The sequence below is a fragment of the Homo sapiens genome, chromosome 10 (genome assembly GCF_000001405.40).
Source record: "Homo sapiens chromosome 10, GRCh38.p14 Primary Assembly".
Taxonomy (NCBI): domain Eukaryota; kingdom Metazoa; phylum Chordata; class Mammalia; order Primates; family Hominidae; genus Homo; species Homo sapiens.
In genome coordinates this window covers 42,863,960-42,887,664 of record NC_000010.11, presented here as the reverse complement: position 1 = coordinate 42,887,664, position 23,705 = coordinate 42,863,960, and the positions used below count along the sequence as shown (strand labels likewise).

At 53.5% G+C, this 23,705-nt stretch overlaps 1 long non-coding RNA gene across 1 annotated transcript, besides 8 other annotated features; it reads right to left on the bottom strand.

The window, feature by feature from the left end:
* Positions 1,637–2,137: an enhancer, noted in NCBI's record as "H3K4me1 hESC enhancer chr10:43380976-43381476 (GRCh37/hg19 assembly coordinates)". NCBI's record gives its function as "activates a minimal SCP1, AML or CMV promoter by ChIP-STARR-seq in primed H9 embryonic stem cells {active_cell/tissue: H9 hESC(primed)}" and the evidence as "EXISTENCE:reporter gene assay evidence [ECO:0000049][PMID:30033119]".
* Positions 8,694–9,194: an enhancer, noted in NCBI's record as "H3K4me1 hESC enhancer chr10:43373919-43374419 (GRCh37/hg19 assembly coordinates)". NCBI's record gives its function as "activates a minimal SCP1, AML or CMV promoter by ChIP-STARR-seq in naive H9 embryonic stem cells {active_cell/tissue: H9 hESC(naive)}" and the evidence as "EXISTENCE:reporter gene assay evidence [ECO:0000049][PMID:30033119]".
* Positions 12,403–13,131: an enhancer, noted in NCBI's record as "H3K4me1 hESC enhancer chr10:43369982-43370710 (GRCh37/hg19 assembly coordinates)". NCBI's record gives its function as "activates a minimal SCP1, AML or CMV promoter by ChIP-STARR-seq in naive H9 embryonic stem cells {active_cell/tissue: H9 hESC(naive)}" and the evidence as "EXISTENCE:reporter gene assay evidence [ECO:0000049][PMID:30033119]".
* LINC02623 (long intergenic non-protein coding RNA 2623) lies at positions 13,605–16,144 on the bottom strand. Its single transcript, NR_134479.1, has 2 exons — positions 15,983–16,144; positions 13,605–15,156 (listed from the first exon to the last, which is right to left on the bottom strand). It is a non-coding gene; the product is annotated as a long intergenic non-protein coding RNA 2623 (long non-coding RNA).
* Positions 15,799–16,298: an enhancer, noted in NCBI's record as "H3K27ac hESC enhancer chr10:43366815-43367314 (GRCh37/hg19 assembly coordinates)". NCBI's record gives its function as "activates a minimal SCP1, AML or CMV promoter by ChIP-STARR-seq in naive and primed H9 embryonic stem cells {active_cell/tissue: H9 hESC(naive and primed)}" and the evidence as "EXISTENCE:reporter gene assay evidence [ECO:0000049][PMID:30033119]".
* Positions 16,299–16,800: an enhancer, noted in NCBI's record as "H3K27ac hESC enhancer chr10:43366313-43366814 (GRCh37/hg19 assembly coordinates)". NCBI's record gives its function as "activates a minimal SCP1, AML or CMV promoter by ChIP-STARR-seq in naive H9 embryonic stem cells {active_cell/tissue: H9 hESC(naive)}" and the evidence as "EXISTENCE:reporter gene assay evidence [ECO:0000049][PMID:30033119]".
* Positions 20,565–21,198: an enhancer, noted in NCBI's record as "H3K27ac-H3K4me1 hESC enhancer chr10:43361915-43362548 (GRCh37/hg19 assembly coordinates)". NCBI's record gives its function as "activates a minimal SCP1, AML or CMV promoter by ChIP-STARR-seq in primed H9 embryonic stem cells {active_cell/tissue: H9 hESC(primed)}" and the evidence as "EXISTENCE:reporter gene assay evidence [ECO:0000049][PMID:30033119]".
* Positions 20,717–20,786: a silencer, noted in NCBI's record as "silent region_2312". NCBI's record gives its function as "represses an Ori minimal core promoter by ATAC-STARR-seq in GM12878 lymphoblastoid cells {active_cell/tissue: GM12878}" and the evidence as "EXISTENCE:reporter gene assay evidence [ECO:0000049][PMID:35858748]".
* Positions 21,199–21,832: an enhancer, noted in NCBI's record as "H3K27ac-H3K4me1 hESC enhancer chr10:43361281-43361914 (GRCh37/hg19 assembly coordinates)". NCBI's record gives its function as "activates a minimal SCP1, AML or CMV promoter by ChIP-STARR-seq in primed H9 embryonic stem cells {active_cell/tissue: H9 hESC(primed)}" and the evidence as "EXISTENCE:reporter gene assay evidence [ECO:0000049][PMID:30033119]".

Here is a 23,705-nt window from a genome sequence, read left to right as displayed (position 1 = left end):
TATCATCTCACCCCAGTTAAAATGGCTTTTATCCAAAAGACAGGCAATAACAAATGCTGGCAAGAATGTGAAGAAAACAGAACCCTTGTCTACTTTTGATGGGAATATAAATTAGTACAATCACTATAGAGAACAGTTTGGAGGTTCCTCAAAAAACTAAAAATAGAGTTACCATACAATCCAGGAATCCCACTGCTAGGTATATACCCAAAAGAAAGAAAATTAGTATATCAAAAGAGATAGCCGCATTCCTGTGTTTTCAGCACTGTTCACAATAGCCAAGATTTGGAAGCAACCTAAGTGTCCGTCAACAGATGAATGGATAAAGCAAATGTAGTACATGTACACAATGGAGTACTGTTCAGCCATAAAAAAGAATGAGATCCTGTCATTTGCAACAACATGGATGGAACTGGAGGTCATTATGTTAAGTGAAGTAAGCCAGGCACAGAAAGACAAACTTCACATGTTCTCACTTATTTGTGGAAGCTGAAAATTAAAACACTTGAACTTATTGAGGAAGAGAGTAGAAGGATGGTCACCAGAGTCTGGGAAGGGTAGTAGGGGAGTAAGAGAAATGATGAAGATAAATAGGTACAAACAAAGTAGTTAGAAAGAATGAATAAGACCTACTATTTAGTACAACAGGGTGACTGTAGTCAATAGTAATTCAATTGTATATTTAAAAATAACTAAGAGTATAATTGGATTGTTTATAACACAAAGGATAAATGCTTGAGGGGATGAATAACCCATTCACCCTGATGTGATTTTATTTTTATTTTTTAGATGGAGTCTCGCACTGTTGCCCAGGTTGGAGTGCAGTGGCACAATCTCGGCTCACTGCAACCTCTGCCTCCTGGGTTCAAGTGATTCTCCTGCCTCAGCCTCCCAAGTAGCTGGGATTACAGGTGCCCACCACCATGCCCAGCTAATTTTTTGTATTTTTAGTAGAGACGGTGTTTCACCATGTTGACCAAGCTGGTCTCAAACTCCTGACTTTGTGATCCACCTGCCTCGACCTCCCAAAGTGCTGGGATTACAAGCGTGAACCACCACACCCAGCCGATGTGATTATTGTGTACTGCATGCCTGTATCAAAATATCTCACATACCCCATAAATATATACACCTACTAAAATGTACCCACGAAAATTAAAAATTAAAAAAAGAAAGGGTCAACAAAATTAAAATGGTGATTCTTTGAAAATACTAATAAAAGTAAACCAACCTCTAGAATAATTGACCAAGAAAATGAAAAGAGGGATGGCACAGCATATAACACAATAAATCAAATGGAGACATAACTTTAAATATAACAGACATTTTACAAATTACTATACAACATTATTCTGCCAATAACTGACAAAACAGACAGTAACCTGAAGAGACCAAACTTGGAACGTGTCTGAAAAAGACATAGAAAACCCAAAAATGCCTATGAACCTTAAGACAATCTAGTGGGGATTCAAAATCTCCTCGCAGAACCAGCAACCACGGGATCGGGCCTGAGGGCCTCATGCTGTGCTCCACTGGGGTGTGGGGTGCAGGACACGGGTCTCGCAGAGCTGGGCACTGGCCCCATCCTAGAGAAGGGGAGGCTGCCTCCCTCACACGGGCCCCTGGCCCAACTGCAATGCCTGGGCCTCCCCAGCCAGGCCTGCTTGGCCGCCCCCTCCCTGGGCCAGGGCCTTTCCAAAGCCCCTTCTCCCTGCTGAGGTTGGGGTGAACTTGGCACCAAGGACCCCCTACCCCACCAGTCCTGGTGCCCCCAGCACATCCAGTGACCTGTCCTTGGCTTTGAGTTTCTCAAAAGCAGAGGCACCTGCAGGGAGGAAGAGGTGACCAGAAGGACCCTGAGGCCCTGCCACAAGGCCCAGCAGGTCCAGCCTCCTACATACAGGGCCAGGCAGCACATCTGGCACCAAGGAAAGAGGTGCCCAGAGCCACAGCCACACTGCCCACTGTGTACAGCTGCAGGCATGAGCTCAACATCCCAGCATCTGTCCCAGTAGACCTCCCATGGTGACATCAACCCTGAGTCCCAAATATCACCATCCTCTTTCAGTGGGAGAAAGGAAATTCCAGCTGGGTAACTTCAACCTGAGGACTTTGTGCCTCTTCCCTCTGAACTGCAGCTGTCCTGACTGTAGGAGGTGACTACCTCCACCTTCCCAAAGTCCTGGGCTGAGACAGGAAGCTTCCTAGAAAGCTAGAGAGGCATGGATGTGTCCCTGATGGGCAGCCCAAGTGCCCTCTGCCCTCTGCAGGGTCCAGGGTAAGAACTGGTGTAAAGTTGGTCCTCAGCAAGGGAGAGTGCTGCACGCTTCCTGGAGGAGGCAGCTGGGAACTGAATCTTTTTTAATTTTATTTTTTATTGACAAATAATAATTGTATACATTTATGGGATACAAGGTGATGCTTTGATATGTTTACAATGTAGAATGATTGAATCAGGCTAATCAACAATCCATTTCCTCACATGCTTCTGAAGGAAAAATCAAACATTGGTGGTCAGTGGGGATGGGTGAACTGGGCACAGGGACTGCTAGTGGGACATGAAGTCATGAGATGCTGGGTCCTTTGAGGGTGGAGACATCTAGCATGGAGCTGGGGACCGAGAGTGTCTCACCAACAAGCCTGGCCTTGATTGGACACATTAGGGTGCTCTGAAGACCTCTGCATGAAGGAGCAGAGGGAGAGACCAGGACAGCTCAGCCCCTGGACAAGCAGAGCAGGCAGAGGAGGCCATGGGCATTAGCCTTGGGCCTCCAGATGCCATGCTTTCAGGCCCAGTGCTCAGACACACCGCTGGTTTCAAGGGAGGAGGGGCAGGCCAGGTGTGGGGTGACCCTGCTCACCTCACTCCCAGCACCTGAGGGCCGTGCTCCTGCACCACCCTCCGCAGAGTCCCCAGGGCACCAGGCTCTGGGGCCTCCATCAGGATTCAGAAGCTGGATGAGCTTGTCAGTCTCAACCCTGCTGTGCTTGGGTATAACCACCACCACCAGCCACCCTGGTCCCCACCCAGCCCTAACCCATCCCTCTCCCTGCCCCCTGGGGACTCAGAGAAACAGGTGCCCCATGACCCCTCCACTCAACTTGCACGGACATCTCACCTTAAACAAAACCTGGCTTTCACTGATATCCACTTCCCCTGAGCAGCCCGCTCCCTTTCCCCAAGGCTTTTGTTCCCTTAAATCCCAGCTCTCCCCTGTAAGCAGACGGAACCCACAGTCTTGCAGGCTCATTAGGTCTGAGTGGTCTCTCCACACCACTGCCATGGCCCATAGTAATCCAGGACTCTGGCGTGGATTCACTTGGCTCTACCTCCAGTCTTGCCAAATTCTGGGGGGCCTGATGTCTATCTTGATGGTTCATCCACACAGCACAGCCCATCCTCAAATGCTGAATCCAGCATCCCTGACCCACTCCCCACACTCCCAACAGGACTCCATCCTTGACCCACGGCCCCAGGCCCCTTCCCCAGGCCACTGCTCTTAGCCTCCCTGAGCTCTCCTTCTCCAGCCCGGCTCTGCCTTCGGCCTCTTCCCTGAGCCTGTTCTGTGCCTCTTTTCCTAACATCTGCTGTTGAACGCAGAGCTCATTAATTTGCCTTCTATCTTGTTCTCTAACACAGCACTTAAGGTTATAAATTTCCCTCTAGTGCCATTTTACCTGCATCCCATGAGAGTCAATATATGCTGCTTCTATCATTGCTTGGTTTATATCTTTTGTATTTTCCATTACCGTTTTTCCTCGGGCCCGTGAGTTATTGTGTTTTCCAGATGTAACTGGGCTCAAGGCAGTCTTCCTGTGATTGACTTCTAACATTATTGCATTGTGATTAGAGAGCATGTCCTGCTTATCATCTCTGCTATTTGTTGAAGCCTCCTTTGTGGCCACCTTCATGGTCAGTATTATAAATGTTCCATCTGTGCTGGAAAAAATGTTAATGCCCGGCGCATGGGGTACAGGATTCTGTATCTGCCCAGCAGCCCAAACTTAAAATCTGTATTTCAGATCTATTTATTTTCATGATTTTTATTCTGTTTGATGCAAATTTTAGAGTGAGGTATGTTCAAAGTTCCCACCATGCCTGGGGACATGCTAGGTTTGCTGTTGTCTCACTGAGGCTGGTGGCTGCATCTTCCAGGTGCATGACCTCCTTCCAAGTTACCTGGTACTGCCCTCCACCCCACCCCATGCACCTCTCCCTGCCTTACTGGTCGCTTCCCACACCCACTTCCTTTCTGTTAACACTTCATAGCAGATAGCTTGCTTTAAAAACAAAACAAAACAAAACAAAAATGTAAAAAAACACAGCCTGAGAATCCATGTTTCGAATAGATGAGTTTAATCTTATTGAATCCATCCCTATACGTTTTATAAAATTAATTAGGAAAGAAGGGAGGGAGAGAAAGGAAAATAAACCAAGCTTGCAGTGTCCTGAGTGTTGGCTTCTAGGCCAGCTTGCTCTCTGACCCTTCCTCACTACCATTCCATGCATACTGCCTCAGAATCACCTTGTAATCCGTTACAAGGCCCCAGTTCCCCTAAGTTCAGATAGATAACAACTATCCTCTATAGATAGCAACTTGAACATTGTGAAGTGTTAAGTTGTCCACTTGAGATATCCTTCTAGGTCCTGCATACCAATCAAACAGCTGATTCCATCTGGTCTGAGGGACCCCACAAGCAGCTGACTCACCAGAACATACAGTGTCCACACCCCGATGATTGCATCCTCTTTAGCCCCACCAATCAGTGGCCCCAATTTTCCACCCCTTGACCTCCACGATCCTTTAAAAACTCCAGCCCAAAACTCCTCAGAGAGATGAAGTGAGGGTCCCTCCTGCCTCCTCACTCAGCTGCCCTGAGATCAGGAAACTCTTTCTCTGCTGCAAAGCCTGCTGTCTTGGTGCATTGGTCTGTAACTGCGCAGCAGGTGTAGGAACCTGGTGGTCCTGTAACATCATTACATTTTACTGTCTTAAGGATATTTTGAATGACTTTTACCATCTTATTTTCTTTCCACCACTTTTTTCTTGGTCCCCAGTGGACTGTGTTTCCTTATTTCCTTTCCCTCCCTACAGGTCTAGAGGTGATAAAATTTCCCTGTTTTCAGTGGCTTTCAGATGCACAAAGCTATGTGGTCCCCAGTTGGCAGGGTGCCTCCCTTCCCCCTCCTTTTCATCTGTCTGTGAGGGCCCCACTTCAGCCCCTGATACTGTTGTGTTGGTCTAACCCCTTCTCCCGTGTCCCTATCTCCTTCCTCACACACTTAACATCAGCAGCCTCCCCATATATGTGGTACCTCTCCAGGCCACATGCCACTTACTTACTTACAGCTGACCCTTGAACAACATGGGTTTGAACCACACACATCCAGTTACACACAGATTTTCTTCTGCCTCTGACACCCCTGAGAAAGCAAGACCAACCCCTTCCCTTCCTCCTCCTCCTCCTCAGCCTGCTTAAGATGAGGATGAAGACCTTTACAATGCTCCACTTCCACTTAATGAGTAAATAAATTTCTCTGGCTTATTATTTTCTCAATACCACTTTCTTTTCTCTAGCCTACTTCATTGAAGAATATAGCATGTGATACATCTGTGTAGTGTGGGTAAACAACAAAAAATAAAATAAAAAAGAATACAGAATATAATACATATAACCTACAAAACATGTGTTCATTGACTGTATGTGTTATTAGTAAGGTTTCAGTGAACAGTAGACTATTAATAGTTACGTTTTGAGGAGGTCAAAAGTTATATGCAAATTTTCAACTGTGAGGGGGTTCAGTGCCCCTAGCCCCCACATTGTTTAAGGGTCAGCTGTATTTCCATGTATTTGTAGATAAGAAAAATACAAAGCATCATTTATGTGGGTGTTAGTGGTGTACACTAATGGTATATTGGGCTGAAATTCCAATTCGATCCTTCTCGTTATTTAGCTATGCCCACTTCACACCTCCTGTCCATGCTCCCCACTGACCTGGTGACTTGGTCTCCTGCCTTCTGTCGGGCCTTGAGAACTCTGAGGTCAGACTCACTCTTGTATCTCTGTAACTGTTTTTCCCTCTGTGATTCTAATTTTTCTGGTGTGTGTGCTTGCCACTCTGTGAACACTTCCATCTAAAGTCTTGTGTCTGTATTTAGTTCTTGGAAATTCTCTGCCAACCCTTCTTCAAATATATTCTCCTACCCGGTATTCTTCCTTTCTTCCCAGGACTCCTTGGAGACGGGCAGGGGCCGTCTTGTTCCACCTTCCTCACCTCTCAACCTGCCTCCCACCTCCTTATACCCTCCTGATGCTTTCTGGGGAGTCCCTTGGTAAAATCTTCTAGCCCCTTTCAACAATTATATTTATTTAGAATTATATTACAGTTTCATACATTATATTAATGAATTCTATTCTATCTATAAATTATGTTTTTTACACCCAACATCCCCAACTGGTTTGTCATGACAGCCGCTTCTTTTGAGCTCATGTTCATTGCATGCTCCCTTACGACGAAGTCCTCTGAGGACTTTGGTCACTTGTTCTAAGTCCTGCTCTGTCTGTCTTCTATGGCACAGGTGTGTTCTTTAGGAGCTGGGCGCAACTGGGAGCTGCTCCTGCAGGCATGTTTGGGTTTTGTGTTGGGTCTGAACTGCCTGCTCTGATACCTGCTGTAGCCAGGGGCAGAGCGGCCACTGCCAGCTCAGAGGTTGCGTGCCCCTTGGGCTGGCTCAGCCCAGGGAGCAGGAGGGGGCCAGCACCACGTGGAGGCTTCCAGCTGTCCTCCACCTGTGCCATGGCCTCCCCAGCAACCTGAACCTGACCCTGTCTGTGCTCCAGGCATCCCTGTGGGTCTATATTTGCTCTGAGTCTCTCTCTTCCAGCATTTCCTGGGCTGGTTTAGGGGGAGGCTGCCAGCAGCCCTTGATGGCTCACCATTTCCTCCACCAACAGAATACGCAAAATGCAAAGGCCTCTCTTCTCTCTACCTCACCACCCTGCCTGGAGCGCCCCTCACCACCCCTCATTCTTCTGCTGACCCCCAGCGGGGTCTCCAACCTGAGTCAACCCAACCACCTGCTCCTGGGCGCCTTCACTGCCCTGGGCTTCTGCGGGCAGTGGGCGGCCCTGACCAAGGGGCCCTCACCCTTGCCTCGTCCAGCCCCCACCTCTCACTGCGCCAGCCCCCACCTGTACTCCCTACCACACACGCGTGTACCCAGACTCGCACACTCACCCTCGCACACCCACACGCACATGCATGCCTGGACACTCCCACTCGCACACCCAGGGAGGCGGTGGGGCCAGGGTCTCACTCCTCCGTACACTCCGGGACCCTCTCCTCCAGCTCCTTTAATCCATTTCCTTCCCTGCCCGTCTCTAGCACTCATGACTCTGCTTCTATCTCTTCTCTCTTCAGAAAAGGTCGGGGGATAAAAGCCTCCTCAGTCCCGCACTCCTCTCCACTCGGCTCTGGCCTCCCTGTCCCCCGCTGTGGCTGCTCCTCCCGCGGGGCCCAGCACCTGCATTCCCCGCCCTTGCAGGAGCCCGTGGTGGGCCCTGAGGGGAGCGGTTGTGAGGAATTCAGCTTTGTCACGCCTACTAATCTCAGTGCCGTTTCTCACGTGACACCCCACACAGCCCACCGCGTGCCCTGAGGAAGCCTTGGAGAACCACCGGCCATGCCCACCGTCTTGCTGGCTCACGCTTGTCTCCTCATGGAACGCTGACTGGCAAATCTGAAGGACCCTGGCCCCCCTTGTCCCTTCCTGGCCCTGATGGTGCCCTGCCCTGTGCCCCCCTCCCTTCTTGGCGTCTGAGCCCTGACCCACTTCTTGGGCCCTCCTCCAGCAGTCCTGGACCTGGCCCTTTTAGCCCTGAGCACTGAGGGGCACTCTTTGCTTTCGATGACCCCTCACTGGGGGCCCTCCAATCGGGGAGTCTCCAGCCTGGGCCCCCTGCACTTCAGCCCTGCCCTGTTCTGGACACCTCCTGTCCGCCAGCCCGGCACAGAGATGGTCAGCTTCCCATGAGGAGCAGTTGCCCACCTACAGCCACCTACCCAGATGCAGAGCCGGGACCTGGGCCAAGCCTTGCCTCACCCCAACACCATCCAGCGCCGAGTCCCTGATCCTGCCCCCTCCACACCTTTCAGGGTGTGTACTCCCCGGAAGCCCGGCTCCGACTCTGTGCCTGCATCAAAGAAGCCCCTGATGGACCCCATCTCCCCTGCCCATCGTCCTTCCAGGCATAGCCCAGGCCTGGAGCCCCCAACCTTTCCTTGGTCCACACCCCATAGGTCCAAGTCTAAGCTCCAGGTGGCTTGTCGCCATCTGAGCATCTCCCCTTAGTCCCACACCCTGCCTCCCACCAGGGGAGTAGCCGTCCCATTTGGGCTGGGATGGGCACTTTCCCAGGTAGGTTCCGGGCAGAGGGACGAGCTGGTCACCTGCAGCCTGCTCTATGCCCAGGCTGGTCTGTGGCCCCTTCAGCCTCTTCCCCTCCAGGCTGCCCATCCTACCCCAGGGCTCACTCGGGGAGCCTGCTGGGCCCTCCCAGGTGGGCCGGGGGCTCGTGTGCTCCCCTGGCTTTATCCCTTCTCTGCACAACTGTGGGCTCTGGCCCCTGCAGAGAAGGGACCATGGGCTTTATCTCTGCATCCTCATCTCATAAGTGCCTGCAGCCCCAGTGGTCTCCACTCAGAGCCCATCTGATTATCATGAAAGGGGGGCTGGCTATGGCTACACTCAACCCCCAGTCTCTCTGGGGGAGTGAGAAGGACAGAAGAGAAGCCCAATACCTTCAGGACCTGCCCTGAGTCCCCAGGCATTGTGTGGGGCTGCGTAACCAATGCAGAAAGCAGATGGGTCACCTGCCTCTCCAAAGAGCAGTAAGCACTCATTCACCCAAGCCCCAGGAGGGTGCGCCATGATGCAGCGGCCTCCCCTCTCTCCGGGACGGGAAAAGGGTGTGCATCGAAGGGCCCTGTCCTCTCCCTCCCACCCCTGGCTGGGCTGAGGATGGGGCTGCATCGGGGGCTCCTGTTCCACTGCAGTGAGTGAGCAGGGCCCCAGCAGGCCCGCAGTCAGCCCTCCAGCCATCGGCCACCGACTTTATCCATAGGAGGATGCCTCTGGCCATCCCAAGGACACTGCTCCTCTGTCCCTGCCATTGGACCACCCACCAACACCCCAGAAGCCCAAGGAGCATGTCCAGGCACTGTCACTCCTGAGCAGTGACAGAGACACAGCCCCAGGGAAGGAAGGCAGAACCTGCCCCAGGAATCTGCTCAGGATCCCGGGGTCAAGCATGGGCTGGGGGCAGGGCAGCCCCACTTGACATCCACTCAGGTGGCCACAGGGGATGCTCAGACTCCCACTGGGCAAGGCTATGAATTGCTCACCAAGCTCTCAGTGCGGTTGATACTCCTGACATAGCTCCAGGCAGGCCTCAGGTGACACTGCTGGGGGACCAGAAGATGGTGAGGGAAGCTAATATCATGTGAAGAGACAGGAAGGCACTCCGGGGTGGGTGGGCAGGAGGGCCATGCTCCGGGCCCTAGGCCCTGAGAAAAGCTTGGGCCCTCCTCACCCTGCCCTGCATGATCTCTGCCTCTGTGTCTCCCGTAAGAAGGCAATAAGACTGAAGATGAGTCTATCAGCCCAGCCATGGCTGCTCTGTGCACTGAGGCTTCCTGGCAGAGGCTGGCACCTCTCCAACCCCCTTCTGTTATGTGGTCTTGCTGAGCTCTCCTCACTGGGTCCCTTCCACAGGGAGAGGGTGGCAGCCACATGGCTCTGGACCCACCCAGGTGCCCATGCTGGGGGGCACCCTATGCAGGGGAGCACCCTATGCAGTTGAGAGCCGTATGCAGCCAAGCATCCTATGCAGCTGAGCACCCCATGCAGGCGAGCACTGTATGCAGGGGAGCACCCTATGCAGAGGAGCACCCTATGCAGCTGAGTGCCCTAGACAGGGGAGCACCATCCAGCCCCCAGGCATGGCCCTGCAGTTGGCCTCTGAGCATCTCTATTCATCCCCCAAGAACGCAAGCACCGCCCCTGGACTGAGCTGGGCAGGGCAGGGGATCCATCAGTGATCCTTGGACACAGGGCTGGTGCAGGGGGGTGCTCAGCCACAGTTTCTAGGATGAGCAAAAGGAGGAGATTAGTGCTTGGAAAGTCTTCTATTTAATTCCAACAGAGACCTCTTATCTGTCTGTCTTGTTTGTTTTTCACAACTGGCTGGGCTGTGTCCACCACCTTCATGTGTGTGTTGGGGTCTTCCAGAGGAACAGAACCTGTAGGAGACACCCAGGTCCATGGCACAGATTTGTCATGGGAACTGTCTCACAGAACTGTGGAGGCCAAGAAGTCCCAGGACCCGCTGTCTGCATGCTGGAGCCTGGGGAGCCATTGTTTGGCTTCAGTCTGAGTCCGAGGGCCTGAGAACCAGGGGAGCCCATGGTGTGAACCCCAGTCCAGGGACAGGAGAGGACCCATGCCCCAGCTCAAAGGGCAGGTGTCCTCCTTCCTTGGCCTTTCTGTTCTCTCCAGGCCGTGAGCAGAGTGGATGCTCCCCAACCGCATGGGAAGGGTCTGCATTACTCAGGCAGCTGATTCCGACACTAATCTCATCCAGAAATGTCCTCACAGACACCCGGAATCATATCTGACCTGGGCACCCCAGGGCCCCATCAGGTTGACACATAAATTAACCAGCATAACATCTTAGTTATGCCCACCTCATGCCCCATGCCTGCTGTCATGCTGGGACCTATGGGCTGTCCTGCTGAGTCAGGCACCTGAGCAGCAGGCACACGAATGACCAAAAGGACCCTCACACATCAATCTAAATGCCAGATGCAGCACCACATGTTTCAGGCTCACACAGCCCTGAAGGTTGAGGACAGCTGGCCACACAGGTCACTAGTGGGGAGCTGGGACCTGAACCCAGGCCCAGCTGGCATCCCAGCTAAAGCTCCCCACCACTGTGCAGTGACCCAAGGGATGCGCCAGCCCCAGGCGCCTTATGGCTTCCCACTGTCTCATGACAGGAGCGAGGACGCCACCGTGCCAGGCGCTGCATGGCACTGCGGTGACAGAGACCACCCCCACCCCCCATACCCCACCCCCCAAGGACTCTAACCAGCTTTCCAGCATCCTGTAGCTGGCGGGTTATATTTATTTCTGCCCTTATTTATCTGAATGAATTGGTAGCAGCTCGCAACATAACACAAATACAAGAAAACTGAAACCATCATGGCTAGACAACAGTTGTGTGTGTTTATGTAACCATATCACACAGATAACAATTTGTAGGCACATGAGCGTGTATTACACACACACGCACATACACATACACACACGAGGTCTGCCCAAATTTCCAAAAAGAATGGTGCTGGTGCAGCATCTGAACAGCTGGACAGGGGCCATCTGCATGCGATGGGAAGGCCAGGAAAGAAAACAGCAGCATGAGCCTTCAATGATTTCTTAAGGACGTGTCTCTAAATGATTTAATCCCTTCCTGAGACACTGCCCATGAATTGATGACCTCTGCTTTTCCTTTCTCTCGTCTGATGAGCAGTGACTCTTTGTGACAGGCCAGTAAATTTCTCTCATTGCTTCTGCTAAGAAATTTTTTTTGAGATGATGAGGGGAAAGTGCTTTCTTGCAAGCACTCTGCACCCCACCCCCTTCCTCTCCACAGTGGAAGGAAGGACGAGCCAGTGGCAGAGCTCCGGGGATGAGCCAAGTCCTGTTAAATTAAAACAAATGCCGGCGACTTCCCAATGGTGACTCATACACAAGGAGGCCGGAGACAGGGGACACACAGCTGGCTGCCTTCCGAACTGTGCCCAAGCCCGCCATGAAGTGGCCATGAGCGGAGCACCCCCCAGCCTCCTGCCACACCCAGAGAACCCCAAATTTCAACACTCATCTCTGAAGGGGAGAGGGGATGCTAGAAGGACCCATAAGGAACCTCAGTCCACCTCCCAGAGTCAGTGTTACAACCATCCAACAAATGCATGCCTACCGTGCATTTCTGCAGGCCAGGCACACAGCAAGCTTGTGCCTGCCAGACACCTCTACCGGGAAGTCCTCCAGGATGCACCACCAGGAAGTGCTGTGCAGAGCCCTAGAGACTGACTACAGCAGCCAGCCAGGGAAGGCTGGAGGAAGAGGGGACGGGTGCAGGATCAGGAACATCATGACAGACGAGGAAGGCACCCCGAAGGAGGGTGCAGTGGGCAGGGGGCTGAGCCCACACTGATCTGGGTACCCTGTGGGGTGGTCTGGAGACCCCAGAAGCACAGGGAGGGGACTGGGTGAGCACAGCCTCCAGTCGGGTTAGCAGCCCAGCCTCCTGTCTCTGCCTGGGTGCTGGGAAGCTGTGTCACGAAGACCCTTCCCATTGCCATCAGGGTTCAACCCACACATCCCGCCGCCTGCTCTGCCTGCCTGCGGAGAGAAGCGGGAGCCGAGGTCTCAGGTGTGGGCAGGATCTGGGACAGCCTGGATGCCTTCGGTGAGGATTCAGGGGTGGCCATCCCCTGGGGCTGAGCTGGGAACTCCCTACTGTGGCCCCTCCAGCCTGGGAGACTGGTGCAGTGCCCCCAGCCCTTCTCCAGGTGTCCGGCCACCCCCAGCTACCAAGCCTGCTGCGGAGGGGCCCTGAGTGGGAATGAAGCAAAATGCCAGTGTCCAGGCACAGACCCCCCAGTGCCCAAGACCTGTCCCGGGGAACACGTGCAGCCAGAGCAGCTCCTGAGCCTCTGGACTCGGGTGGGGGTGTGGCACTCTCCCAGGGAGGCCAGCCGGGGACTCAAGGGACATTCCCCTCCTTAGTGGAACCAGGGCCGTGACTGACTAGAAAACAGTCTGAACTTATGAGTGGATGAAAAAGAAACAAAAGTAAGATGGAAACAGGCCAGAAAGATGCTTGTATCAAATATGACAGACCAATTGCTAACATTATTATATATTAAAAATTCCCTTGCATTTTAACGAATTCAAATTCTGGATAGATAGATGCGTGATGGGTATGAATAGATCTTTCATGGGTGAAATACTAAAAGCAACGAAACCAAGACCAAAACCCAAAGTAGGGCGAACTGCTCAACCACCACAGCAGTCAAGGAAACTCAGACAGAAGGAGACGGTGCAGTTTTATACCAAACTAGTGTTACCATGGCAAAGCCAACAGCAATGAGTCTGGGTGCAGGAGCCAGGCCGGAGCAGTGTCCTGGGAGCCCATGGCCCACAGTTCACTGTATTCACAATCTGACTGGAGTGGTCATTCTACACTCAGGGGTTCGCCCATGGAAATGATTGGGAAAGAGAAGAGCTGTGTGCACTGCTAGGCTCACCATGGCACTGTCTTCATCAGTAAAAATCAGAACAGTCTATGGGAGCCCCAGCAAGAGATATAGAGGAAACCTCGAGACAGGACAAACTGTCAAGCCTCTTTCTGGCACAAGGTTAGGGGCAGAGCCCTTGAACAGAGAGACGCGTCTGATGTTGCCTGAGTGATGGGTCAAGATGGCCATAGAGCGTGACAGCAGTGGCGAGTAAGGAAGTCTTCCCCCATACACAGAAGGCTTCGCCACATCCTGTTTATTCCAGTGTCCAAGACATGGGCAGTGGCCGTGATAACACCGCAGGTGTGTGCTCCCCAGAATGTGCTCCTGGTTGCCCCCTGAGGTGCAGGGTCCTCCTCCTCCTTCCCAGCCCACACCTCGTAGCCCACATCCTTGGTAGTGGGCCCTGTCACAGCCCATCATCATCCACTCACTCTATGCCCCATCTCCTTCAGGAAAGGGTGTCCAGCCGTCAGCACCAGCGGACAAAATGTACAGAAACCAAGCGGGCTCATGCGATAAAGAAAGGAGAGACCAAGGGCTGCACCTGAGGACCAGTCCAAGGATAGTAGGCCTGGGTGGAGCATAAAACTTGGCACTGAGCTTCCTGGAAGCCAAGGTAAAAGGGGGAAAAGATCCACAACAACCCTCCTCAACCAGGACAAAAAGCCACGCTTATTTCTTGGGAAAGACCTTATCATGTGTTTGCTTAGATAAAGGTCCTGAGGACATCCCAGAGTCTCCAGCTGTTTCCCACCTAACTTGAGAACGTTCTTCTGTGACCTGATCTCACCTCAACCTCATCCAAATGCCCTTAAGTTCTGGTTCTGTGACACATTTCCATGGAGAAGTTCGTGATGTCATCAAGGCAGGCCACTCTGAACTATTCCGAATGTGGATATCGTCTGGAGTGGGTGGCTGTCATGGCCACAGCCCCTGGCTCCAATACCACCTTGGGTTTCGTCCCGTGATGAGCCTTAGCATGAAGGAGTGGGGCACCTGCTGCTCACTTGTGGGTCCTAGTCGCCTCTGGGACACAGGAGACCTTGCTGCCATGTGCCTGAATACATCCAAGGACTCACCAGCAGGAGGGAGGGGCGGTTGTCAGCCCAAGCAGCTGCCACCGTGAGCAGTGGACACAGGACCAGCTTCCGGGGATGGTCCTGTCCTCCTAGCACAGCCCCATGCATGGACAGGGCATCCACGCTATCCGTGTCACCCAGGGCAGGTCACTGAGCCTCCCGCAGCCCCATTTCCCCGAGTCGCCCAGGCGTGGTGGAGCATACGCAGCACAATTGTTTTAGGAATTGGATGACTCACGAAGCTCCTGGCAAGTAGTAGGTCCGGCACGTGGTTGTGGCACTTTTTTCTAACTGCCTGGGTTCCATCTCAACTCCCAGAGAGTGAACATCCCGCCTCTCATCTCAGGACTGGTGCTCTCCGAAGCATTAAGTAGGAAATTGAGAGTAGCAGCAAGTGAGACTTAGGGGGCGGGTGGGCAGAAATCAGTGATGGCATAGCCGTGCCACCATGACCACCCTGGCCATTGTCTCCTGTGTCTCCTGCTCCTCCAGGTCTCCAAAGTCTCATGCCTTGTTCTCCAGCAGCTGCTCTCTGTGATGGGAGGGTGGGCACAGGGTGGGTTTGTGGGTGATTCTGCTGAAGCCAGGGAGATGACGTCTGTTCAAGGACCCTCAGCCTAGAGCCCAGGCTCCAGGAAGCTCTGCGGGGGACAGCTGGCGTCACTGGGCATCTCCTTTCTGTCTGCTCTGCTCACAGAAACCTGCAGGACACTGCCCATAAGGTGAAGTGAGCAAAGAGGCCAGGCCAGTCCTTCCCAGCCCCACGAAGCCAGTTCAGCAGGACCCCATGTGGATGGGCTTCTGCAACCGTGAGCAAAGGGTTGTGCCCAGCCTGTGCCCAGCCCCTAGGACACACACGGGAAGGGCTTCTTCCTAATACCTGCCGCCTGCTGCCTCTGCACAGCCATGATGTGCACCCTGCTGCAGGGAGCAGGCACCCTCATCCCTGTGGCCCATCTCCCCCTTCTTGTCCTCACTCTGAGGCCATAGAAAACTGGCCTGCAGCATCCTCACCCTCAACCTTGCCCTGCTGGGAAAACTTAGACCCTCAACTAAACTGGGGCCCCTGGACGCACTCGCTCAGCCGCAGTTCTCAATCTTCCCTCTGCCTGGAAGGCCCAGTCCTGTGTTTCACACTTGCTAAGCAGAGTTCCCTCTGAACTCAGCCCCCTGGATCCAGCCCAGCCCTCCTGGATCCACTTGCCAGAGTGCCCCTGACCCCGCCAGCCCCTCCCACTGACTCCAGTGCAGGTCGGTGAAGGTGACTGTGGCAGCTCTGGTAATCCTGGGAGAACCCCCGGGATTGAGTACAGCTCTCAGGCTCTGATTACAGCTGATTACCATAATGGAGAGAATATCTGGATTCTCCCCTAATTTCCTCTCCTCTTAAAATTTTCAATTAAGAGCCTAATCTTGATGGAAAATGGCTGCTTTCTGGAGTATTCTCTGCAGTGCTGATTCCTCATTGCTAAGCGCTTTTTCTAGACAGATAGAGGCTCTCGATGATTCCAAATAAAATCAGAGCAAAGGAGCTTACCCCAAGAAGGGAGGAGAGCAGAGCAGCAATAGGCTGTGCCCCGGACCCCTCCCTGCTGCTGGAGACACCGGGTGGGTGAAGGGTCTCTTGGGCCCTTCCAGCCTGCAGAGCTGCTGAGAGCCAGGCCTGGCTGCCAACAAAGCAGCTGAAGTCTTGAGAAAACTTCCTGATTGCATTAGCGAGGTCGCACCACCAGGACATAATCAAATCTCCCTGGAGGACATGGCTTCCGGAAGGGCTGCTACAAGCCAGTGGCAGAACAAGGGCAACCAGGGTCAGACACAGCGGAAGGAGGGAAGTCCCAGAGCCGGGCGTGGGTGGGCATCAGAGGGGTGTGGGCTGCACCATCTGGGTGCAGGGGCCAGCAGGCAGTGCGGATCCACCCAGCCCAGGGCCAGCCTTTCCCAGTGGTCACGTGCAGAAACCTGGCACACGTCATGGGGCAGCGGTCCCATATCATAGGCCCTCCTGGTGTTAGCAGTCAGGAGGGTGCCTAGAAAAGCCCCACGGCCACAGGGACTGCAGGATCTGAGCCTGACCTCCACACCAGGAGCCTGCCCAGCACCGTAGGCAGGGCCCAGGTGCCCTGCTCAGGAATGAGCTCTGGTTCCAGCTCGGCCATCCTAGTTTCACCCTGTCTGTAACTTAGCTGACCAGGAAGATGGCTGTGACAACCACAGAAAATCCCAACACAGAGCTGGCATGAAGGAGCTGTGCCCATGGGAGCTTCGGAGTCCTCAGGCCAGGCCGGCCCTGGCTCTGCCACCTCCTGGCTGGAAGACCTTCAGGCACCTACTGAGCCTCTCAGGGGCTCAGCATCTCGTCTGTGGGACAGGGATAATAATAGGGTTGTTTTGAGAGTAAAAGCACAAAACACAGAGCCTGGCTGAAGAAAGCACAGGTAGCTGAGGTCAGCCAAGGCTGAGTTAAGTGTTCTTCTTAGAAGAGCAGACAGGTCATTCCCTGAAGGCATCAGTGTGGGCAGGAGGGAACCTGTACTTTGCAGTCCCAACACCTCAGGACACAATTCCTGCTAACCTGACCCACAAAAGACCAAAGGACACACCCAAGATCCTGGACCAACATCCCACAACGATGCCTCCTGGTTTCTTCTCTAAGAATACTTCTTAAAAAGTTCCCCAGGAAGCTAACTCTATGTTCCTAATGTATGGACCATGGAAAGAAAACAAGTGTCTCAGTAGGTGTGTTCAACAAATGTGCAAATGCAGGGATGAACGAAGATGCCCAAAGTCAAGAAGCACCTCAGTCGCCTCCAACGTGCTCGGGGGCCACATCCACCTCCAACCTCTGCCCTGTTCACGTTTTCCTCCACCCAGATTCCCCTCTTGCCCTGGCACTCCAGGAATTGTTTGATGTCCTGGAAGCTTCCTTTCTCTGTTCCACAGCCCCTGAGCCTGGCGCCTCCCTGCATGCCTGTCCACCTCACCCACCAAGTTCCAGGAGCAGGCATCTGTCCTGCTCACCCCGACTCAGCAGGGAGGGCTGAACTCTGGAGGCTGAGTGGACCTAGACCTGCCCCGTGGCCTCCTGTGCCTCCGTGTCCTCCTCACCCTCGACTCACCAAGGAGCCCTGAGGACATGAGAACTGGAACATGCCCAAGACCCATGTCGGGGCCTGGCACACATGAAGCGCCCAGTGAATGCTCGATGACTGAGGACAGCATCGCTTCTTCTAAGAGGGGAAAAAAAAGAAAGTCAACCAGAGACAATTTGTAAAAGATGGCTTTTGACTGAGCCCTTGAAGGATGGGCAAGGATGGGCAAGGGGAGGGGGGACTCAAAGTGAAGGATGAGAAGGCTCTAGGTGCATGAGTGCCTGTACATGTGAGCATGCATGTGCATGTGTGTGCATGTGCATGTGTGTGCATGTGTGTGCATGTGTGTGTGTGCATGAGCCTTGCAGCCTTGCATGTGTGTGCATATGCATATGTGTGTGCATATGTGCATATGCATATGTGTGTGCGTATGTGCATATGCATATGTGTGTGCGTATGTGCATATGCATATGTGTGTGCGTATGTGCATATGCATATGTGTGTGCGTATGTGCATATGCATATATGAGCATGCATGTGTGTGTGCCCTAGTCCAGACAGGGCTCTGAATGCACTGTGGGGGACAGATGATTTCAGACTCCACCATGCGTCTGAAATCAGTGGGACAGATGACCTTGAACAAGGCCTTATGGCTCACTTAGTGTGAGCCAGACTCCTTAGAGACAGTGACGGCAGGACACACACGTGGGGGTCCACCTTCCCAGAGCTGGAGCCCACATAGCTCCAGGACCTCAAGGGAAGCCCAGGGGCTGAAGGGCCCAGGAGGTCCATCCATGTGATGGACCCAAGGAGACTTTGGTGGCTTCTCTGTTAAGATTTGAAGGGGGCCAGGTGTGGTGGCTCATGCCTGTAATCCCAGCACTTTGGGAGGCTGTGGCAGGGGGATCATGAGGTCAGGAGTTCAAGACCAGCCTGGCCAACATAGTGAAACCCCGTCTCTACTAAAATACAAAAAAAAAAAAAAAAAATTAGCCGGGTGTGGTGGTGGGTGCCTGTAGTCCCAGCTACTTGTGAGGCTGAGGCAGGAGAATCGCTTGAACCCGGGAGGCGGAGATTGCAGTGAGCTGAGATCACGCCACTGCACTCCAGGCTGGGAGACAGAGCAGGACTCCATCTCAAAAAAAAAAAAAAAAAAAAAGATTTGAAGGGATCCCAGGGGGCAGGGCTGGGTGGGCACAGGATGGAGACAGCGACACCTTTGGTCTTGGGTAGCCCCTGCCAGCCCCAGCATATCCTCAGCAGATAGGGTGACAACAGTGCCACTACCTCTAGTGGGAGGCTCAAGAGAAATTCACGTGACGCACCTGCCTGGGCTTGGTGAGTGAAAAGCTCCCCACTGACTCGAGCGCTGGTGGTGAGGATGGAAAGGGAGGTAGAGATGGAGGCGACAGCGTGGGCAGAGCAAGAGCACAGCCATGGAAGGGAGGTCCTCCCAGCTAGCCTTCAGGAGGCCCATGGCCAGCCTCAGGGCAGGAGGAAAGAATGTGGACCAAAAGCGGAACGTCCAGCCAGGGGAGGCCCCAGCAATGGCTGTATCAGGGCTGAGTGTGATCACAGGAAAAGCCACCCAAGGATTGAAATCGAGTGGAGTCAAGACTACGTGGAAGCCTACCTCTCCATGATGGCAACTTTGGAAGAACGTGTGACCTTGCGGAAGTGCACAGAAGGCACTGCTGGCCTGAATGGGTCCTTGGGCCCTGGTCTCGGGGCCGGCTTTTCTCCCTTCCCCAGACCTGCTGTGGCTCCATCCCCTCTCTCCTGCATCCTGGGATTGCCCCCAATTAACTACCTGCTTACAAGCCTTTTCTTTATTTTCTTTTTGCCTTTTCTTCTTTACATGTAAAGCATGAGTCCATCTGGAGCTTATTTTAAAGCATAGAATGAGGACTGACATTGACCTGTTTTTTTAAATGAAATAACTAGTTGTCCCAACCCTGCTTGTTGGATAATACTGCGGTTTCAGGAGTACCCCCACTGTCATACACCCGTGGGTCCATACCCCTGGGCTCTCCATCTGGGCACTCCCCTACCTGTGGCACCTCCTTCCTGAGGGCCGGCCTCACCCAGGGCCCAGCTGCCCTCTCCGTGGCCTGTGTCTTCCTTTCCTGATGCCTCAGATTCCCCCCATTCTCTGGCACTCTCTCCATCCTCCTGACCTCACTCTGCACCTCCCATGAGGTGCAGGACTGCCCTGCTCCAGCCCCCAGCTTCCTCAATCCCGAAGCCTTGTGCCACTGAAGCAGGAGCCCCAGAGTGCACCTGGATGGCAGCTTCTCTCCTGGCCAACAAACACCTGGTGCTGGCTGCCCTCCCAGCATCTCCCCTCAACAACTCAGCTCCACCCCAGGGCCTTAACACACACATGCACAGCACACACACGTACAAACATATGCACACACAGACATGCACACAAATGTACATACGGACTTACACAGCCACATACAGATGTGCACACACTCGTGCATACACAGATGTGTTCATGCAAACACACACGCGTATGCTCACGGGCGCGTACACATGTGTATGTTATGCTAAGAAATCCATTTTGTGTAGAAGACACTCAGGCTCAAATATGTGTCCAAAGTCACACAGCTATGGAGCGGCAGAACTCAGGTCTCTAGTGCACACAGCCCCGACTTAACCGCAGTTCCACTTAACAGTTTTCAACTTTATAGTGATGCAAAAGCCATCCACAGTCAGCAGAAACCCTCGTTTGAGTCCCACACGGCAACTCGGTTTTTCACTTTCAGTACAGTAGTCAATGATTACATGAGGTATCCGACACTTGACTACAAAACAGGCTTCGTGTTGATGCTTCTGCCCACCGCAGGCTCAGGGCAGTGTTCTCAGCAGGCCAAGGTAGGCCCCCACGCTGTGCTATTCGGTAGTCAGGTGGACTCAGTCATTTTCCACTCTCAGCGGCCTTATCGGGCCGCAGCCAGGGGTAAGTTGAGCAGTGTCTGTACTTTTAGCTCCACCCTGGGTATTTTAAGCGGCAGATTTACAAAACAAAAACAAAAACAAAAACAAAAACAGGGTTCCAAACAGTAGGGACATAAAAGGAGAGAATGCACGTTGCGGTCAGCCCATGCCTGGGAGCATAAGCACTTCAGGGGCATCAGCAGGCGTGACTGGCGATTGTTCCTGCTTTTCCTGGCAGCAGCGGCCTGGGCCTGAGACTGACCGCCCTGGCCACAGCCCTAGGCGAGGCTGCTGGGAGCCGGGAGCCGCCGCGCTCCGCGGTAGCGAGTCTGCGGTGCCACCTCGTGGCTACTGCGTGGAACTCCTCGTGGTGCGGGCCGGGAAGGCCGGGTCCCCACAAAGCCGGAGCCCGAGCACAGCGGTGCGCGCTCGCCTCAGGGGATCCCGCAGCACCCGGATACGGGGGCTGGTCCCCCAAAACCCTCAGGGGTGAGAGGAAGGAGGTCCCCAGCCTGCTGAGAGCTGTCCTCTGAGCACGCACTCGCGCACACTCACACGTGCGTGTGTGCATCCTCGGGTACCCTGACGCGTTCACACGCACGCACACGCGTGTGCACAAGCACCGTCTTTCACAAGCGTATGACGCGTTCACACAAGAGTGTGACGCGTTCACACGCACGCACACTCCCTCTCCCTCGAGCCTGGAAGGCGCACTGGGCTCATGGTGGAAACCTCTACCGCGGCAGAGGCACCGCGCCAGGGCCAGGATGCGCGCTTTTATTTCAGACGCGAAAACCGAGGCCCGAAAGAGACAGCCGGTGTCCAAACCTGTCCAACGACTCTGCTGATCGCGCCTCCTGTGTGCGGCCGGGGCGGGTGTGAGGGCAGCGGGCCCACCCTACGCCTGACCCGCCCCGGGGCCTCGAGCCACTTCCTCAGGAGCTCCTGGCAGCTGCAGCGACGGCGCGCCCAGTGCCTGAGGGTCCTGTGGAGCCAGGCTTCCCGGCACACAGGCGCGGTGGAGCCTCGGGGCGGGCATACACCCCGCGAGCTCGCGGCGGCCGGGCACTGCGGGTCCTCGGGTGGGGACTCTGGAGTTCAGTCTTGAAGGACAAGGTCACTGAGGATCAGGGAACCAGGAGGGCAGGGAGGGTGGGGAGGGGTGCCTAGGCCTAGTGGGAGAAGCATGTGAAAGTTCCCTAAGAGGGCTGCGGGTGAACAAGCGCTTGGCCTGGCCTCTCCCGGTAGACTGCTGTGGCGCCCCGGAGCCTCCCTTCTCCAAGGCCCCATGGACGCCCCCTGAAGGGTGACGCCCTCGCCCACGCTGAGCTCTGAGTGCTGCACGAGAACTCCCAGAGCCGTGTGCACACGCGCTCGCCGTGTTACATGCAGGACTGAGGCACCAGGAGGCCCAGGAACTGGCTCAAGCTCGTAGAACTTCATGGCAGGATCTGAAACAGGCAGATCAGCTCCAAAATCCAAGCTCTTTTCAAATTTTTTAATTGTGGTGAAAATATACCTAACATAAAATGCACAGTTGTACCATCTTTTAGTGTGGGTTAACTGGCATTAAGTGCACTCACATTTTCGCATATCCCCTACCACCGTCCATCTCCAGAACCTTTTCATCTTCCCAAAAGGAAACCATACCCATTGAACACCACTGAGCATTGAACCCATTGAACACCAGCTCCCTCCTTTTGTTACCATTGCTCTTTCTGTCTCTGAATTTGCCCATTCTGGGCCCCTCATGTAAGTGAAATCGCAATGTATCTGTCCTTTTGTGGTTGGCTTATTCCATCTAGCACAATGTCCTCAAGGCTCATGCGTGTTGGCATGCCTCTCAGAATTTCCCTCCTGGCCGGGTGATATTATAGGCTCATGCCTATTATCCCAGCTGTTAGGGAGGCAGAGGTGGGAAGATAGCTTGAACCCAGGAGTTCGAGACCTGCCTGGGCAATATAGCGAGACCCCATTCTCCACAAAAAGAAAGAAAAAAAAAGAATCTCCTTCCTGCTAAAGGTTCAGTAACAGTCTACTGTATGCATAACCACATTTCGCTTGTCCATCCACTCACCCATAGACCCTCAGAATGCTTCTACCTTTTGACTCTTGTGAATCATGCTGCTTTGAACATGGGTGTGCAAATATCTGTGAGAGTCCCTGCTCTCAAAAAAATCCACATTCTTGGCACAATGAAGAATCACCTCTCACAGACACCAGGGAAAAGCAGGTCTGTCTGAGAGCAGAGGGTGAGGAGTGGAAAGCCGGGCTGTGGACCACAGTGGGCGGAGGAAAGCCCACCCGCGTGTTCCCATGTGTGGGAGGAGAGAGGAGAGATGCCCTCTAGTGAAGGAACTCTTGTAGCAGCCAGCTCCATTCCTGCTTGGCCTGCAGAGGGCCAACTCAGGAGCCCAGACCAGGAAGAAGTCAAACGACTGACAAGATCCATCAGGAAGCAGAAGTGCGCCCGTGTCTCATCTGCAACAACAAACAGTTAGGACCAGCCACCCACCCCCCAACCCAGGGGGAAGTGCATCCACCACACAACTACCACCACTGAGCTCATGACACTCTCAGAGACAGGCACGGGAGCTCCTGGCAAGGCACAACCAGGGCAAGTGACAGTTTGCCAGTCCTGGGCAAGCAGACACCTGTCCTCTATCCAGTCCCCCATCCCACCAGCCTGCACAAGCAGAGAAACATCCTGCATAAATTAAAAGATTATCCAGATCATCAAAAGATCTGAGCAAACAAAACAAGTGAGACAAAAAACAAAACAAAACAAACAAAAACCAAAACAATAACAACAGAAGAACACTCATTTTTACAGAGAGATTTGAGCCCATCCCAACAGAGTACAATGCTCTTTCCAAGCTCATGGACAGCGTTTGGGAAAATTAGCTGTGCTAAAGGAGCAGGAAGCTTCAGCCCCTTTCCCAGAATTGCTGTTATACAAATCACATTCTCTCACCAGGGAGCAACAAAATTAGAAACATGCAGTAACAAAGACCATGTTAAAAGTGCATTTTGGGGCCAGGCATGGTGGCTCATGCCTGTAATCCCAGCACTTTGAGAGGCTGAAGCAGGTGGATCACCCAAGGTCAGGAGATCAAGACCAGCCTGGGCAACATGACGAAACCCTGTCTCTACTAAAAATACAAAAAATTAGCCAGGCATAGTGGCAAGAGCCTGTAAACCCAGCTACTAGGGAGGCTGAGGCAAC